This window comes from Homo sapiens, chromosome 17 (assembly GCF_000001405.40).
Source record: "Homo sapiens chromosome 17, GRCh38.p14 Primary Assembly".
In the NCBI taxonomy this organism is placed as follows: Eukaryota; Metazoa; Chordata; class Mammalia; order Primates; family Hominidae; genus Homo; species Homo sapiens.
The window spans coordinates 80,478,587-80,498,162 of record NC_000017.11 but is presented as its reverse complement, the minus strand read 5'-3'; the positions used below and the strand labels follow the sequence as shown (position 1 = coordinate 80,498,162).

Genomic DNA, 19,576 nt, shown 5'->3' with positions numbered 1-19,576 from the left:
CCGTGACGCAGCCCGGCCTTATGGCAGGCGAATTCCTGTGATGCTGCCCCAGCACACACTCACATATACACACAACACACACATATACACACAACACACACACTCACATATACACAACACACACACAGAGGCACACTCACATATACATACAACACATACATATACACACAACACACACACACAGGCACACTCACATATACACACAACACACACACACAGGTATACTCACATATACATTACTCACAGGCACACTCACATGACCACATCCTCTTCCTATACACTCACACACATGCTCACAAACACAAAAAAACACTTTTTTTTTTTGAGACGGAGTTTTACTGTTACCCAGTGCAGTGTCGTGATCATAGCTCACTGCAGCTTCAACCTTCCTGTCTCAAGTGATCCTCCTGCCTCAGTCTCCTGAGTAACTGGGACTATAGGCATGCATCACCATGCCCAGCTAATTTTTTATTTTTTGTTGTAGAGACAGACTCTCGATATGTTGCCTAGGCTGGTCTTGAACTCCTGGGCTCAAGCAGTCTGTCCACCTCAGCCTCCCAATTATACACTAGGATTACAGGCATGAGCCACTGTGCCTGGCCCCACATCCTCTTTCTATACACGCACACACAAACACACACACACAACCATGTCCTCTTTCTACATGCACAGACACACAACTACACTCTGTTTCTAAACACACACACACACACGCCACCTCTTTTTCCAGTGACCTATCTTTGCTTCAGACACCAGCACCTTGGAGGCCTCCAGCTACAGACTCACCTGCTCGAGGTGTTGCTTGATAACAGCTGAAACAGCTTCCTCCATCAGCCCAGGTTGTCAGTTGCAAGGAGCAAAACCTACCTGTGGTTAACTGAAGCAGAAGAGGGAGTTGACGGAAAGGTAGTGGTTGCCTCAAAGATGAAAGAGACTCCAGGAGAACCGAGTTTGGGCAGGACTTCCCCAGGCTCAGGGACGTGAAGGCAGAAATGCGCCCCTGAGAACACTGTACCCCTCAGGTGGTCAGGACCCAGGCGGCCATAGGTTTTGCTGCAGTAACACACAGGCTTGAGATACCACCTGCTCTAAGCGGCAGCTGTTCTTTCTGGTTCTTTCCCACAGTAGGTTCATCGTGGATCAGCAGGAGGCCTCCTTCCACTTCATCACCTAGGGATCTAGCCACCATGCCAGAGGGAAGAGAAAGAGCAACTGGGGGTGGGGGGTTCTTAAGGCTCCCGATTCAATGAGCTCTGGACAGGGGCGAGGGGCTGGAGATTGAGTTGATCACCAACTGCGGATGATTTAATCAAGCACGACTGTGTGATGCAGCCTCCGTAAAAAGCCCTAAACATGGGGTTCAAAGAGCTTCTGGGTTGGGGAACAGGTCAAGGTGCTGGGGAGGGCATGGAAGCTTGGTGCCTCTTCCCCCGTATCTTGTCCTATGCATCTCTTCTTTGTGGCTGTTTCTGAGTTGTAGCCCTTATAATAAACCAGCAATAGTAAGTAAAGCACTTTCTTGAGCTCTGTGAGTCATTCTAGTAAACTGTTGAACCTGAGATGGGGGTTATGGGAACCCTGATTTATAGCCAGTCAACCAGAAGAACTGGTGACAACCTGGGACTTGTCATTGGTGTCTGAAGGAGGGGGCAATCTTGTGGGACTGACCCTTAAATGTGAGGTCTGTGCTAACTACAGGTAGTCAGTGTAAGAATTGAAGTGAGTTGTAGGCCACCCAGCTGTCTGGAAAGTTGAAGAACTGGTCGATGTAGGAAAAAAAAAAAAAACCCTCACACATTTGGTGTCAGAGTGTGAGTAAAACTAGTTCAGAATGGTGATGACACTCAGCTGGGCATGGTGGCTCATGCCTGTAGTCCTAGCACTTTGGAAAGACAAGATGGGTGGATCATTTGAGGTCAGGAGTTCGAGACCAGCCTGACCAACATGGTGAAACCCCATCTCTACTAAAAATACAAAAAATTAGCTGAGCGTGGTGGTGGGTGCCTGTAATCCCAGCTACTCAGGAGGCCAAGGCAGGAGAATCACTTGAACCCAGGAGGCGGAGGTTGCAGTGAGCTGAGATCACGCCACTGCACTCCAGCCTGGGTGACAGAGTGAGACTTTGTCTCCAGAAAAAAAAAAAAAAAAAAAAAGAAGGAATGGTGATGACCCTCCTTTGGTGCATCCATCACAGCTCATGTCTTCCAGAGAGCCTTCTATAAAGCCTGGGAATAAAACAGGCCACACAGACGCTGGGGAGGGAGAGCATAGTGCCAGCGACCCACAGAGTTGGGGTGGGGAAATGCTGCCTGCTCCGCCACTGAGGTGGCTGGGACCCTCGGCAAACCTCTGAGCCCTTCTGTATAGCCTCAGTTTCTGCATTTGTTTTAAAAGGGAGGTATATGATCCAGCAATTCCACTTTTGGGTACACATCTACAAGAAGTAAAAGCATGGTCTTGAAGAGCTATTTCTACACCCGTGTTCACAGCAGTCTTATTCATTATAGAGGAAAGGTAGAAGCTACACCAGCCTCCTTGGGTCAAAACTGTATCATTCCACTTACACAAGGCTTCCTGGGCCAAACACTGTATCATTCCACTTACATGAGTCTCGCTGGGCACTGGTTTAACTGGAACAGAGGTAGAATGGGGGGGTGCCCAGGCCTGGGGGAGGGCGAATGGGGAGTTGGTATTTAATGGAGACGGAGTTCAGTTTGGGAGGATGAAAAGAGTTCTGGGGACTCATGGTGATGGTCCCACAATCACGTGAATGTGCTTAATGCCACTGAACGCTCCACTCAAAAACAGTTAACATGGTACATTTTATGTTATGTATATTTTACCCCCATTTAAATATTTTTAATTTAAATTTTTAAAGGGACGTGCCTGCTGTGCTAGGGTCCAGTCTGTGGTGCTGCTGAGAGACCCACTTTCCTTCCTTCCCCCTGGCCTGGGACTGAAGAGCCCCCTAACCTCAGAAGCACTGCTGGTGTGCCCCACCCTCACGTCCTTGTATGATGACAAACATCTGAGCATCTCAAGGGAGGGGAAAACAGCAACAGTCACAACTAGGATTTGCCAAATGCTTCCACTGACCAGCACTGTTCTTTTTTTTTTTGAGACGGAGTCCGTGCTCTGTTGCCCAGGCTGGAGTGCAATGGCGTGATCTCAGCTCACTGCAACCTCCACCTCCCAGGTTCAAGTGATTCTCCTGCCTCAGCCTCCTGAGTAGCTGAGATTACAGGTGTGTGCCACCACTCCCGGCTGATTTTTGTAGAGAAGGGGTTTCACCATGTTGGCCAGGCTGGTCTTGAACTCCTGACCTCAGGTGATCCGCCTACCTTGGCCTCCCAGAGTGCTGGGATTTCAGGTGTGAGTCACCGTGCCCCGCCTACCAACCGGCACTGTTCTAAGAGCCTTGTGGGGTTTGTCTAATGTAACCCTTACCACAGCCCAGAGAGGTGAAGTCACCTGTCTGAGGTTACACAGCAGCTGAGCGATGGACCTGGCTCCAGCCCAGGAGAGACGCTGAGGCTGCTCCTCTCATGGCTCCCTGGACCCCCTTCCCACCATCTAGTCATGCCTAGAGCCTGCTCAGAGCTGGTGCCCAAGGAGAGCCTGAAAGCAGGCTACTATACCCAGCAGCGCCCGTAGCCTGAGTCTCCCATCTCCTGGGGTGCACCGAGGCCATGCTGCCTCCGTTACCAAGCACGCATTTCTTGAAATGCATAGTGGGACCCACCTGGGCGAATTGTCAGTGCTTTCTATTTCCTGGGTGGTGATGCTCAGCCACATTTCTCTGTCTGGAAGGATCCACCAGTCCCAGCACCGCCTCTTCTCTGAATGGCCCCAGCACCCAGGCGTGTGGGTTCATGACGCTCACCTGAGTTCATACAGCTTCTATGAGAACTGTTGCTGACCAGGGCAATATTCTCCTTGTCTTCCTTCCCCTGGAATGGAGGAGGGCAGCCGGTGTGGCAGAAGGGGCCCCCCAAGAGGTGGGGAGAGGCCGGACACAGTGGCTCACGCCTGTAATCCCAGCACTTTGGGAGGCTGAGACGGGCGGATCACTTGAGGTCAGGAGTTCGAGACCAGCCTGGCCAACATGATGAAATCATTTTTAGTGTTTACTAAAAATGCAAAAATTAGCCGGGCATGGTGGCATGCGCCTGTAATCCGAGCTACTCGGGAGGCTGAGGCAGGAGGTTGCAGTGAGCCGAGATCACGCCACTGAACTCCAGCCTGGGCCACAGATTGGGACTCAGTCTAAAACAAAACAAATTTAAAAAAAAGAGATGGGGAGACCCTGGCCCAGGGCTAGCTCACGCCTCCTCTCTGGGCCTCCAGGTGTCCTCTCAGATCTCGTGGCCCCAGCTCTCACGCTGGCCTGGGGAAACCCACCTATCCAAGAGTCTCTGGGGCAATTCTCTCTGCAGGCTGCAGCTGTGGGTGGCCGTCTGCCTCCATGGGCATTTGGGACACTTTGGACCTGTGCCCTGAGGTGAGTGGTACTGAAGTCCAGGTCCTGAGGCCTGGCTATGTGACACACGACAGGTGATGTGTGCGCAGGTGCCAAGTGAGAGCCCGTGTGCTGCGGGAGAGGGAAGGGGGAGCAGGACGCCCACGCAGCCGCCTCACACTGTGGGCGTACCCAGGGCAAGCTGTAAATGCTAACAGCAGCAAATCAATTTCACAAAGCAATTTGTCCCCTCTCTTCTGCTGGCCCCGGGAGGCTTAGCTTAATCACTCTGGCATACTGTCAGGAGATAGTTGGAGATGCACAAATCCCTGCCTTCCGCAGGAAACAATTGGCCTGGCCAGGGCGGGCGGGACCAAAGAGTCCCCAGGCAGAGCCAGGCAGGCAGCATCACGAAGTTGCCCCAGAGTCTCCTTCTCCGTGCTCCCCTCACCTTCCTCTCTCTCCTCCCCCAACCAGAACCTGAGCTCTCTTTCCCTCCCCGCTCACTGGAAACAGGAGTGAAACCAATCCCCCCCCAACACAATGGAGGTCCCTGTCTAGAAACAACAGGATCCCATTCGCAGCGAAATCCCAGGGACGGGTCTGCAGGCAGCACCGATGATGAAGGCCAGCTTAAATCCTCTCTGGAAGAGAGTGAAGTCTAGACAAAGAAAGAAAACAGAACCGCAGCCTTTCCGGAGGGTCTGCTACCCAGTCACCAATGGCTGCCTGCTCCATAGCCACACGGGGGTGAGAGTGACACTGCGGGTGCTGACCTGGAGCTGGGGACAGGCAAGGCCCTTCACTCACACTCTCCTGTCAGCAACCTGGAGCTGGGGACAGGCAAGGCCCCCACTCACACTCCGGGCAGTGATCTGTACTCAGAGAGGACAAGCAGCTTGCCTGAGGTCACACAGCCAGGAGGGCAGGAGTGAGGCTGCAGCTCTGGTCTTGACCACTGTAGGCACTGGGTCTGGAGGGGCACAGAGGACGGGGTCTCCGGAAAACACGTCCTGCACTGCCACCTGCACCACCACCTGGCCCTCCTGCCCTGCCCCACCACCTGCACTGCCACCTGCACCACCACCTGCACCACCACCTGCATCACCGCCTGCCCACCACCTGGCCCTCCTGCCCTGCCCCACCACCTGCACCGCCACCTGCACCACCACCTGCCCCACCACCTGCACCGCCACCTGCACCGCCACCTGCCCCGCCACCTGCACCGCCACCTGCCCTGCCACCTGCACCACCACCTGCACCACCTGCCCTGCCACCTGCACCGCCACCTGCCCCCGCCACCTGCACCGCCACCTGCCCTGCCACCTGGCACTCCTGCCCTGCCCCACCACCTGCCCCACCACATGCACCGCCACCTGCACCGCCACCTGCCCTGCCACCTGGCACTCCTGCCCTGCCCCACCACCTGCACCGCCACCTGCACCACCACCTGCCCCGCCACCTGCACCGCCACCTGCCCTGCCACCTGCACCGCCACCTGCACCACCACCTGCACCACCACCTGGCCATCCTCCTGTGTCTGGGTTCCCAGGAGCAGCCCTCTGCCTGAGGTGGCCGAGAGAAAGGGAAAACCATTAAGCTTCAGAAAAGCATTTTCCATCAATGGTCCATCACTCTCCCTCCAGCACCAGGAGAGGCCACAGACCAAGCCCAGCCAATCGGAGAGGGGCCGCTGCTCCAGTGGGAAGCCCCGCCCCCACCTCCTGTGGGGCGTGGGGTTTCCTCTGCTTTGGAATGCCCACCCCCAGACCCAAGCCTGTCACTCTCTTCATCCCCCGCCCTCGCCATCCTTTTAAAGGGAACACTGCAGATTTAAAACACAAATTAAATTTTTAATGAAATCACACAGCAGTAGTGTCCGATGCGATGCAGTATTGATGAGATCACAGTGTCTGGCGGGTGCTCGCTCAGGAAAGCTTTTTAGGATGTTATGCAACATGGGACCAAGTTAATTATTTGCAACAAAGGGCTCCATGTCTCTGTAGTGCTGCTGGGGCCCAGTGAGTGGGAATCCTGTGCTTTTCATTACTGCCAGCTCTGAATGGCAGCCACAGGGAGGGGAGTGGTGACATCACAGACCAAACACGACCCGAGTGCGAGGCCGAGATAGGAGGACAGGGAGAGAGAGAAAGAGTGTGAGACAGAGGGGGAGGGAGGGAGGGGATGGAGAGGTCTCACCAGGGAGCCCTTGTCCCCACAAGCAGATGCCACCGCACAATGCAGCACTTTTCTTTCAAGTCTTGAAATCCAGAGTTCCCAGTTTCTGCCCCCTTCACCCTGCTTCCCGAGGTATCTGCTCATTCAAAGGGGCTCCCGCAGGGCTGGGTGCCTCCAGCCACATCCCTCCAGGACACTTCCCCTCTGAGGATGAAGCCACTGTCATCAGTCACAGCCTGTCCTCAGGTACAGTGGTGCAAGGTGTCCTGAGCTTGGCCATCAGCAGGCGAGCTTCCTGGTGGCTGGGCCTCTGTCCTGCCGAGTTACCCCCTGGCTCCAGCCCTGCCATGGGACTCCACCTGTGGGATGCCCATAGCCTGCCCAGGACAAAGTGGACACACCCCTGGGCCAGGTAGCTTAGCCCTTCCAGGCCAGTGAAGCTGGGCCTGCAAGAACCTCCCTGGATACCACCCCTGGGTGACTGGCCACCCAAGAGCAGAGGAAACTGGGGCGTGGGGTGAAGGGAAGGGCTGCAGGTGGGGCAGCCGTAGAGCAGCAGGGAGCTCCCTGCCTGGCCCCCGCCCCTCCCTGCCAACATTCTGTGCTCTTGGGACACCCAGCATGGGTCCCAGTGCTGGGCCCACTGCTCCCCAATGTGTCTCAATAATGCCGTGCCTTTGACTTCAGTTCCTGGCAGGAAGGAAAAGTGATTCTTTCAGAGGTGGAGAAACCAAGACTGGAGGGTGAGAGACTGCCCTAAGGTCTCAAAACTGGGGAGAGTGCAGGGGGGCCCCTGGGCCCCTGCCAGCCTCCATGGGCACCTCCTCGTGGGCTGAGCTGCTCTCCTTCTGGCCTCTCTCCCTTCTACATCGCGAGATGCCAGCCAGGGCTGGGAAAGGGCCACGAAGCACAAGTGTCAGGAATGTCTGAGACTGACCTAAGGAGCAAGAACACAGAGGACCAGGGCCAGCAGGGCTTGGCAAGAGGCTTGTGAAGGGGAGACGTGGTTGCAGGATCCATGAGAAATCACCCCGAGCATCCATGGAGGCCCCGACACTCACCATGACCAGCCTCGTAATTCACACGGAATGAGATGCTGAAGCTGACTATGGCACAATTTGGGGGTATTCTCCCCACCCCCACTGTTGTTCTTGCTTGTCGTCCTACCGGGTCACCGGAACAGCCTCCTAATGGGTCTCCCTGCCTGCTCTGGCCCCAACACTGCATCCGGTCTCCATCAAGTGGCCAAAATAGTTCCTGCTCCAAACCCTTGTGTGGCTCCCCCTTGCCCTAGCGCAGTCTAAACTCCTCCCTGTGGCCTGCCAAGAAGGCGCCGATGACCACTGCGTCCATTGCTGAGCATCTTATCCATCCCTGTCCACCACGCTCATCTTCTCCACCACGTCCATCCCTCTCTAATGCATCCGTCTCTCTCCACTGCGTCCCTCCCCTCCACTGTGTCCATCTTCTCCAATGCGTTCCTCCCCTCCACCACATCCATTCCTCTCCACCGCATCCTTCCCCTCTCCTCCCTCCCCTCCACCGCGTCCCTCCCCTCCACCGCGTCCCTCCCCTCCACCGTGTCCATCCTCTCCACTGTGTCCCTCCCCTCCACTGTGTCCATCCTCTCCACCGCGTCCCTCCCCTCTCCTCCCTCCCCTCCACCGTATCCCTCCCCTCCACCATGTCCATCCTCTCCACTGCGTCCCTCCCCTCCACTGTGTCCATCCCTCTCCACCGTGTCCCTCCCCTCCACCACGTCCATCCTCTCCGCCACATCCCTCCCCTCCACCACGTCCCTCCTCTCCACCACTTCCCTCCCCTCCACTGTGTCCATCCTCTCCACCGCGTCCCTCCCCTCCACTGTGTCCATCCTCTCCACCGCGTCCCTCCCCTCTCCTCCCTCCCCTCCACCGTATCCCTCCCCTCCACCATGTCCATCCTCTCCACTGCGTCCCTCCCCTCCACTGTGTCCATCCCTCTCCACCGTGTCCCTCCCCTCCACCACGTCCATCCTCTCCGCCACATCCCTCCCCTCCACCACGTCCCTCCTCTCCACCACTTCCCTCCCCTCCACCGTGTCCATCCTCTCCACTGTGTCCCTCCCCTCCACTGTGTCCATCCTCTCCACCGCGTCCCTCCCCTCTCCTCCCTCCCCTCCACCGTATCCCTCCCCTCCACCATGTCCATCCTCTCCACTGCGTCCCTCCCCTCCACTGTGTCCATCCCTCTCCACCGTGTCCCTCCCCTCCACCACGTCCATCCTCTCCACCACTTCCCTCCCCTCCACCATGTCCATCCTCTCCACCACATCCCTCCCCTCCACCACGTCCCTCCTCTCCACCACTTCCCTCCCCTCCACTGTGTCCATCCTCTCCACCGCGTCCCTCCCCTCCACCACGTCCATCCTCTCCACCATGTCCCTCCTCTCCACTGCGTCCATCCTCTCCACCGTGTCCCTCCCCTCCACCACGTCCATCCTCTCCACCATGTCCCTCCTCTCCACTGTGTCCATCCCTCTCCACCGTGTCCCTCCCCTCCACCACGTCCATCCTCTCCACCACTTCCCTCCCCTCCACCATGTCCATCCTCTCCACCACATCCCTCCCCTCCACCACGTCCCTCCTCTCCACCACTTCCCTCCCCTCCACTGTGTCCATCCTCTCCACCGCATCCCTCCCCTCCACCACGTCCATCCTCTCCACCATGTCCCTCCTCTCCACTGCGTCCATCCTCTCCACCGTGTCCCTCCCCTCCACCACGTCCATCCTCTCCACCATGTCCCTCCTCTCCACTGCGTCCATCCTTTCCACTGTGTCCCTCCCCTCCACCACGTCCATCCTCTCCACCATGTCCCTCCTCTCCACTGTGTCCATCCTTTCCACTGTGTCCCTCCCCTCCACCACGTCCATCCCTCTCCACCGCGTCCCTCCCCTCCACCACGTCCATCCTCTCCACCATGTCCCTCCTCTCCACTGCGTCCATCCTCTCCACCGCGTCCCTCCCCTCCACCACGTCCATCCTCTCCACCATGTCCCTCCTCTCCACTGCGTCCATCCTCTCCACCGCGTCCCTCCCCTCCACCACGTCCATCCTCTCCACCATGTACCTCCTCTCCACTGCGTCCATCCTCTCCACCGCGTCCCTCCCCTCCACCACGTCCATCCTCTCCACCATGTACCTCCTCTCCACTGCGTCCATCCTCTCCACCGCGTCCCTCCCCTCCACCACGTCCATCCTCTCCACCATGTCCCTCCTCTCCACTGCGTCCATCCTCTCCACCGTGTCCCTCCCCTCCACCACGTCCATCCTCTCCACCATGTCCCTCCTCTCCACTGCGTCCATCCTTTCCACTGTGTCCCTCCCCTCCACCACGTCCATCCTCTCCACCATGTCCCTCCTCTCCACTGTGTCCATCCTTTCCACTGTGTCCCTCCCCTCCACCACGTCCATCCCTCTCCACCGCGTCCCTCCCCTCCACCACGTCCATCCTCTCCACCATGTCCCTCCTCTCCACTGCGTCCATCCTCTCCACCGCGTCCCTCCCCTCCACCACGTCCATCCTCTCCACCATGTACCTCCTCTCCACTGTGTCCATCCCTCTCCACCACATCCCTCCCCTCCACCGTGTCCATCCTCTCCACTGCCTACTCCTCCCACCCTGCCGTTGCTACTCCCAAGCAGCTTCACCTACCTCGAGGCCTTGCACAGGCTGCTTTCCTCACCCAGGATGCCTCTTTGCCCGGACAACTCCCATTCCTGCTTCAGAGCTTGGCTTAAATGTCACCTCTGCAGGGAGTCCCTCCCTGATCCCCAGCCTGAGTCACGGCCCTGCTGGGTGCTCCCCAGACACTGCTGCTTTAGCTGCATTCCCCTGAGGGATAGGGAGTGACACAGGAGTGGAAGGGAACGGGGGTCATGGAGCTGGCTACTGCTGGGGTGGCTGGAGCTCCGTCCTTTGGGACCTTCCAAGGAAGCTCATGAACCACCCACTTGCAGGGGCCTGGGGGGCCTTGTCCTTCGGTCTTTACACCTTTGCTCAAGGGTGGCTCACAGGCATAGGCCCCCACACACTTGCAGGTGTGCAGGAAACTGTGCAGAGCACGTCCTGCAGGTGAGGTCCAAGAGGCCCCAGGGCAGACGAAGAAGCAAGGGGCTGCTTGGCTGCCTGGTGAGGGGGAGGGAGAGGCGCAGTCTGCATAGACCTGAGGGCCGACAGAGGCTCAGAAAGGTGAGGCCGAGAGGTGACAGGTACAATCCATGCCACAGTCTCTCATACGTTGCAATCATTCCCTGCTTACGACGATTCCCCCTTCACAAAGGCAAGGACAGGTTCTCTCCCTGCTTCCCTGGTGTGCCCAGCATCATCCTGGCCTGGGGGGGTAGTGCATGCTGAGTGGGCAGCACTCAGGAAACAGCCACGCAGGAAGGACTAGAACGCGCTGGGGGCTCATGCCTTGCTCTCCCCGCTCACCCGTCGGAAGGGCAGCAAGGGAGGTGGAAGGAGGGGGCCCGGAGGGGTCAGTGAGCGCGGCGCACACCACACACAGCCAGCAGGGTCCTTCCTGCGAGACTAGCAGGGGCCAGCCCTTCTCAGAGCCTGGGATGATCACTGCCAAGGCCAAGCTGTGAGCTGAGACTGGCTCAAAGGACTGTCAGCTGACAGGGCAGGTCTGAGAACGGGGAGGGGTGGGATGAAGGCCAGGGGCCGGCTTGTTACCAATTTGCCATGGCTCCCTGCTGCAGAATGCATTAGGCTGTCCCTACGCAGAGCAGAAAATAGGTGCGGAGTCCGGGCGCTGCAGCTCACGCCTGTAATCCCAGCACTTTGGGAGGCCGAGGCAGGCAGATCACCTGAGGTCAGGAGTTTGAGATTAGCCTGGCCAACATGGAGAAACCCTGTCTCTACTAAAAATACAAAAATTAGCCAGGCATAGTGGCTCACACCTGTTATCCCAGCTACTTGGGAGGCTGAGGCAGGAGAATTGCTTGAACCTGGGAGGTGGAGGTTGCAGTGAGCTGAGCTCGTGCCACTGCACTCCAGCCTGGGCTACAGAGCGAGACTCTGTCTCAAATAAATGAAAAAAGATGGGGAAATGAAAAATCTTCCCAGAAAAGGGTCTCTGTGACCCCAAGACATCCCAAAAGGAGGGCTTCATTCCTTCCTTCTTTTCTTTACTTCCCAGACACCTGAGCAGTTTAAAATTGTAAGATTTCTTCACCCTGCCCCCTGCACATGCACACACACAATGCGTGCTTCTGCTTCATCCTCATGATATCCCCAGGAGGGAGGGGGCGCACACACCTGCAGTGTCAGAGAGGTAGACGTCCAGCCTCAGCTGAGAGACGGAGCTCCTTGCTCCCCAAGTGGCACGCCAGCTCTCCCCACCCAGCTTTGAGACCCTCCCTGGATGGGCCTAGTCCTACCAACAACACAACAACATCACATCATCCTAGTAACAGCAGCTGCCGTGGAGTGTGTGCTCACTGTGAGCAGGGTACTCCCCTGGGGCCTCCCCGGGCCATCTGGTGTGACGTTCCCATCTTGCCCAGAGCCCCACAGCCGGTAGTGGTAGAACCAGACGTTGAGACACCTGAGCTTGCAGACAGAGCCATTTTTTTTTCTTAAGACGGAGTCTTCCTCTTGTTGCCCAGGCTGGAGTGCAGTGGCATGATCTTGGCTCACTGCAACCTCTGCCTCCCTGGTTCAAGTGATTCTCCTGCCTCAGCCTCCCGAGTAGCTGGGATTACAGGCACACACCACCAAGCCCGGCTAATTTTGTATTTTTAGTAGAGATGGGGTTTCACCATATTGGCCGGGCTGGTCTCGAACTCCTGACCTCATTATCCGCCTACCTCGGCCTCCCAAAGTGCTGGGATTACAGGTGTGAGCCACTGAGTCTGGCTGCAGAGAGCCATGTTCTCTCCCAACTCACCTTACCCTGCTCCAGAGGGTGCCCACCAGATCGTTTTTGACATTGTTATTCAGGGTGGCCCAGAGCCGGGGTGAGGGGTCTCTCTGCAAAATCCCACGAAATCCTGCCCTAGGAAACCACAGGTCATTCAATGTTGGTACTCTGGGCCCAGCCAGATACTATCTTAGAGGGATCTTAATGTAGTTACGGATAACAGATGCCAATGTTTTAATAAAAGTGCATGAAAGAGAAACTTAAAACCAAGAAAATTCTATCCATCAACTTAAAAAAAAAAATAGGGACATGAGCCCAGGAGTTCGAGACCAGCCTGGGCAACATAGCAAAACCCTGTCTCTACAAAAAATACAAAAGCTAGCTGGGTGTGGTGGCATGCGCCTGTAGTCCCAGCTACTCAGGGGGCTGAGGTGGGAGGATTGCTTGAGCCCAGGAGGTCAAGGCTGCAGTGAACCGAGATTGTGCCACTGCACTCCAGCCTGGACAACAGAGTGAGACCCTGTCTTAAAAAAATAATAATAATAATTAGCTGGAAACATCTTTGTGTCTCTACCATCTGGGAGAGTTCCTGGCACATAGTAGGCCTGGAAGAATGTTCATCCAATGAATGAACGAATGAATGAATGAATGAATGAATGGAATTCAGAAGGCTAGACTCGCAGTACTAGAATTAATATTGCTACTTAGGCCAAGGCACTAACATACAGTGAGCCTTGCTTGACTCCTCTGCAGAATGGGCAGAATCAAACATAAGAATGCCACCTGCCGGCTGGGCGCGGTGGCTCACGCCTGTAATCCCAGCACTTTGGGAGGCCAAGGTGGGCGGATCACCTGAGGTCAGGAGTTTGAAACCAGCCTGACTAACATGGTGAAACCCCGTCTGTACTAAAAATACAAAAATTCGCCTGGTACAGTGGTGGGCACCTGTAATCCCAGCTACTCAGGAGGCTGAGGCAGGAGAATCACTTGAACCCAGGAGGTGGAGGTTGCAGTGAGCCAAGATCACGCCACTGCACTCCAGCCTGTGGGAAAAGAGTGAGACTTCGTCTCAAAAAAAAAAGAATGCCACCTGCCAAAGCCGTCTGGTAAACGTCCAAGACACCTTGGAAAATGTAACAGAAAAAGGAGCATATTTGCACCATGCCTAATAGTTTTTGTTTGTTGTTTGTTTGTTTTTGAGACAGAGGCTCACTGTGATGCCCGGCTGGAGTGCAGTGGCGTGATCTCAGCTCACTGTAACCTCTGCCTCCCAGGTTCAAGTGAGTCTCCTGCCTCGGCCTCCCAAGTAGCTGGGATTACAGGCGCCTGCCACCATGCCCAGCTAATTTTTGTGTGTTTAGTAGAGACAGAGTTTTGCCATGTTGACCAGGCCGGTCTTGAACTCCTGACCTCAGGTGATCCACCCGCCTCGGCCTCCCAAAGTGCTGGGATTACAGGCATGAGCCACGGCGCCCGGCCCTGCATTGTGCCTAACTGTGACATGGGAGTGTCATTCATCCCCCAGAGCACTGGATGCTCCCGGAGGGCTGGCTTCAGCCCATCCTGCAGCCTGGCACCCTGCAGTCTGCGGCCCTGTCCCCAGAGGAGGAGGCACGGTGGCTGCTGCCTCCTTCGGCAGGCGACCACACTCTTCCTCTCCCAGGTATGAGTGATGGCGGCAGCGCACGGTCCTTGTAATAACTGTAATCTCTTGCCAGTACACATCATTTTTATTCCGAAACACTTTTATGCCTCAACTCATTTTATATTTCATGTGCCCTCTCCTGGCGTCTCGCAGGTGGTAAAATTGATGGGCAAGGACACAGCAGGCTGGCAGGCCCCCGGCCCCCACCTCAGCAGCCAGATGCCGGTAGCTGGAGGGAGCGTCCTAGCTCAGGAACCAAATGAATGCAAACTGGGGAGGGCTGGGACGGGGGCCCTAGGGCCATTCCTCACCTGGCTTTGTATTTGCAAGCCCTGTGTTGGGGGTGCAGGGAAGGCATTTTGAAGTGCAGAAGGTGCTGTACAAATGCCTGAGAGTACCGATGTCTGCTGCCCTTGTCACTGTTGAATGCGGAGATCAGAAACCTTAAAACAATGGTCCTTGAATATCGGAGTCCCAGGGTGCTCTTTTCAGCTTTCTTCTGTTTTTGTACCCACTGCCTCCCTGGATGGGCTCCCTACTGGCTTGGCTGTGGTCCACGGCCTCTAAAGATGCTCCCAGGACTCTGCTGTCAGCCCCGTCCTCCCTCTGCACCCTCAGGCCCCTTCCGCTCAGGTCAGCTCAGGACCAGCCTCCTCATCGTCTTGGAATCTCTAGAGCCTCCGTGTGCTGGGCTCTGGCCTCCTCCCGGATGTCAGATAGCCACTGGAAAACCCAGGCGTCCTAGTGTGAACTGTGGACTCCTCCCTCCCTCCAGGCCCTCCCAGGCTCCCCACCCCTTCTCTGCAGGCAGAATCACCACCACCCCCTCGCCCAGAAGCCGGGGATCTTCCCAGGTTCCTCCCTCTCCTTCACTTCCCACGCCCAAGCCATCACCAAGCCCCTGCCAAGGAATCTCCCAAATGCCCTCAAGCCTCTCAAGCCCAGTCCCCTTCCTCCCTGGCTCCTGTGACATCACCCTCCAGGTCTCTTCTGCAAGCCCTGCTCCTGCTCAGCTCCGCCCTCACCAAGGGCTCCCAGACAGCGCCTCCACAGGACTGTGGGTTCTCCCCAAGGTCCTGGCCCACCTTGCCCACAACTCCCCCACATCTACCCTGGCCCCTGCAGCTCACTCTTGGCAGGATGAACTACGTCCGTCTCCCCACGGCCTGCCCCTCATTGCTCTGGCATTGCTAGTGCCAGCCCCCTTGGCTCACTCTTCAAGCCCCTGTTATCACCTCCACAGGAGACCCTTCCAGCTGATGGCTGGACCCTAACCCATGCGCCTGGTGCTGGCTCAGGACCTCTCCCGTCCTGTGGCCCTCACGCATGGTACCCAAGGTGTGTTCAGCCCTGTCTAGCCTGCCAGATCGCCTGGCCTCAGAGACGGAGAATGGTGTTTTACTCATCCTGGCCCCAACACCTGGTCTGCCCCTCAGTGGATGCTCTGGAAATATTTGTTCAACTGAGAGCAACTGTTCTGAACAGTTACACTATGGCAAATGCCCAAGCATCTGCCTGGTGCCATGAAATGCCTACTTGGAGAGTAAGACACGCCTTCCCCAGGTGGGAAGGGCTCACCTTTCCCCTGCAAACTCCTGTTGATTGGGATCAGTGAGTCAGCAGTTCAAGAGCACCCATTCCCCATCCTTGACCCCAGCACTGGGCTCAGCCCAAGAGAAGGAACAGGCAGGGTGGGGACAGAGACCACCCAGGGCCCTGTCCCCAGCCAGACTGGGCCAGTGGCCGCCTGGCTGGCTCAGAGGAGGAAGGTGGTCCTTGCTGTGGGGAAGCCCCTGGTGGGAGCAGGGAATCTGGGGTGGGAGCTCAGCTGTCGCAGGAGAATGGGGCACTGCCCCGGCCCATCAGCTCCTGGCTGCAGCTGCTGCAGGCTTCGCCACACTTGCATAGTGGGCAGAAGCGCGTAGTCCTGCGGTGAGGCAGGGCTGGCTTCTCCTCTGAAGATGGCTGGTGAGAAGGTCTTGAGCCTGGGGTCCGCAGCCCCACCTGCCCTGCCCACTCACTGGACATGGGTGGGCTGGGGCACTGTCCCCTCAGGGCTCCTCTCCTGGAGTCTTTTCCTTGCAGCTCCTGTGCTGGGCAGAGATAAAGTGGCCACATGGAGTGCGAAGGCCAGGGCTTGGCCCCAGCTCTGCCTTCGCTGGGCGACGGTGCGACCTTGGCTTCTCTGGGCTTCCCTGTGTTTCCTCTGTGGTGAGCGAGGACTAGAGCCCAGCTGTGCCTTTGAAAGGCAAATGCGTGAATGTGGACCCAGGACTTGGAAAGGGGACAAGTGCTTGTTTTTAAGACACAGTTAGGTTACCACCGCAGGGGTGTCATGTAGAGGACAGAGGGGAAGGCTCGGGTGGGGCGCCTCCCTCAGCAGAGCCGGGGAGCAGGGACCTGTCCCTTATCACACAGAGCTGGTGGGTGGGGCTGTCAGGAGTGACTCCAAGGCACAGGTGGGCTGAGGCTGTGACTCAGAGGCCCCGTGGGACTGGCTGCCGTCAGAGCAGCCCCACACCCAACCCTGTGGGTCCAGGGGCGCCTCACTTGGGGGGAAGGTCACGTGGCCTGACTGTGTCCTGAGGGCTGGGCTGCCAGAGGTCCCTGTGCCTTCTCCCCTGGTGCGGCCAGAAGCCCCTCTCCTCTGCCCAGGACACCCTGCGGATGCTGTGCCCTGCACACCCTGTGTGAGGCATAGAACCACAGAGAAAGGTGCACAGATTGCACCTGGACAGCCCAGTGAATGGTCACAAGACAAACACCCCATGAGATCAGCACCCAGATAGAGAAACAATATGGCCGGTACCCTGCGAGCTGCTGGAAACTCAGATGCAGGTGAAAATGGCGTTGCACATCTCACACACTAAAACCCCGGCCACTCACCTTACCGCAGACTGTCCCACATCCTAGACCAGCTGCCAATGCAATGAGTCTCCGAGGGGTACAGCCTGTCCTCCAGAGGGGCATGTACCTGACCCTTGGCTGAGGCACTGTGTCTATCCCAGGGCTGTGATCATCGAGGGCTCCTGCTTCTCTTCTGCGGGTGGGGGACCAGGGCCTCTCCCACCCCACCATACCCTCCCCTCCCAGCCTCACCCCTCCAGAGGCAGCATGGAACATCATGCGGGAAGGGCTGAGGCAAGTGGGGCAGAGAAGGGTGCCTCTGCCTAGCACCCCGCAGTGCTCTCAGGCCCTCCCAGCATTCTCCCAGCACCCACCCATTGCTCACCCTTCTTCCTGCTAAGGGTGGAGGTTCCAGATAAGCTCAAGGCATGGCCTGGAAGATGAGAGGCCGGGGAGATACGGCAGGATGAGCAAGGGGCACAGGCACCCACCAGGCTTAGGCACACCCCTGCATGAGCTCCCACCGTCCACTGAGTAAAGACTCTTGATGGGCACTGAGGTCCTCTTAATACCTCCCAACCTACCCGGCTAGCCTTCTTTTTTTAAAATTTTTTTTTTTGAGACAGGATCTTGCTGTGTTGCCCAGGCTGGAGTGCAGTGACGTGGTCTCGGCTCACTGCAGCGTCAACCTCTCGAGCTCAAACAATCCTCCCACTTCAGTCCCCAGAGTAGTTGGGACTGCAGGTGCACCCCACCATGCCTGGCTAATTTTTGTATTTTTGTAGAGATGAGATTTTGCCATGTTGTCCAGGCTGGTGTCAAACTCCTGGGCTCAAGAGATCCACCCACCTCGGCCTCCCAAAGTGCTGGGATTCAAGGCGTGAGCCCCTGCACCCGGTCTGTCTAGTCTTCTTATGCCTGGCCACCCTCTCCATACTGGCCACTAACCAGGGCCTCTCCTGGACACCTGCCCCCTTTGCCTTCTCTACACTCCCCCTCCCACTACCAACTAACCTCTGCAGGCCTCTCCGTGCCCTTCCACCAGGAGTGAGCTGAGCCGGCCAGTACCCACTGATGGTGGCATTTGCAGGAATTTCACAGGTCGATGGTTAAACACAGCCACTATTACATTTTAAACTAAGTAAACTTATAATTAAATAAATTATATTTTAAATGGGCAATAAATACTACAAACTCATCACTTTCTAATTATTTTCTTACATTGAACTATTGTCTATCTTTTTTTTTTTTGAGACACAGTATTGCTCTGTCATCCAGGCTGGAGTGCAGTGGTTCGATCTCGGCTCACTGCAACCTCTGCCTCCCAGGTTCAGGTGATTCTCCTGCCTCAGCCTCTCAAGTAGCTGGGATTACAGATGTGTGCCACCACACCTGGTTAATTTTTGTATTTTTGGTAGAGACGGGGTTTCACCATGTTGGCCAGGCTGGTCTCAAACTCCTGACCTCATGTGATCCAGCTTGGCCTTCCAAAGTGCTGGGATTACAGGCGTGAGCCACTGCGCCCAGCCTTGTCTATGCTTTTGAGTTTTATTCACATCTATTGCACCGTTATGGTGGGAGTAGTATAATAAGTACTATTGTGCTAGGCCGGGCGCTGTGGCTTGCACCTGTAGTCCCAAGACCAAGGCAAGAGGAGTTCAACCATCTCTACGAAAAAAACAAAAAAAATTAGCTGAAGTGTGGTGGTGCAGGAAGCATCGCTTGAGCCCAAGAGGTCGAGGCTGCAGTTAGCTGTGATTGCGCCACCGCACTCCAGCCTAGGCAACAGAGCAAGACCCTGTCTCAAAAATAAAATAACAGTGTGCTAGTGTGCATGGTTTCCCAATGAGTGAGGTCGTGTCACAGGCAGCCACAAATGTACGCGGCTGGGAATATTACGGGATCGCCTCCCTCACCCCAGCTGCATCTGGGGTGTGGGACTCAGGCAGGGCCGGGATCACTGGCTGTTCACAACACCATCCCCCCTCTTCCGACCTAGTAACCAGACACCCCGATGAGTTTGGGCAGGGCGGCCCTTCGTTTTCCTGCTCCCTCCCTCTCAGATACTTTCAGAACACTGGGGAGGCCGAGGGAATCCTAAATACGACCCTCCGCTTGCCCAGGGTCTTGTGAAGGAGAAACGCGGCATGGTGGCCCTCGCGTGTGTGTGCAGCGCCTGCAGGTGTCCCGCCCAGCGCCTCCTGCACAACAGTTGCAGGCTGGACCCGAGGGTCTCCTCTCCTGGGGCCCCACAGTGCCCAGAGGTCCCGCTAGCCCCAGACACCGCCCCAGGCTCCCCTCCCTTTCTGACGCCGTCCACTCCCTTCCTCTGCGGAAGGGGGACACGCTCCTCTGTGCCGAGGTGCCAGGCCGCTGAGATCTGCTGCCCTGGAGGAAAAGCCAGGCAGGGTCCCTGGCCTTGGGCGGCTAGGAAGGCTCCACGGCTGCTGGGGATAGAGACGCGGGGCCAGGCTAAGGGTTCCCGCCCCGTCTAAACAGCCTGCCCTGGGCAGGGCAGGGCTCCTCTCCCGCGCCCGC

The 19,576-nt window shown here is 56.9% G+C and overlaps 2 annotated features.

Annotated features, from left to right (window-relative positions):
* Positions 4,140-4,640: an enhancer, noted in NCBI's record as "H3K4me1 hESC enhancer chr17:78467323-78467823 (GRCh37/hg19 assembly coordinates)". NCBI's record gives its function as "activates a minimal SCP1, AML or CMV promoter by ChIP-STARR-seq in naive H9 embryonic stem cells {active_cell/tissue: H9 hESC(naive)}" and the evidence as "EXISTENCE:reporter gene assay evidence [ECO:0000049][PMID:30033119]".
* Positions 6,360-6,654: an enhancer, noted in NCBI's record as "tiled region #3125; HepG2 Activating DNase matched - State 8:EnhW". NCBI's record gives its function as "activates a minimal TATA promoter and a strong SV40 promoter by Sharpr-MPRA in HepG2 cells {active_cell/tissue: HepG2}" and the evidence as "EXISTENCE:reporter gene assay evidence [ECO:0000049][PMID:27701403]".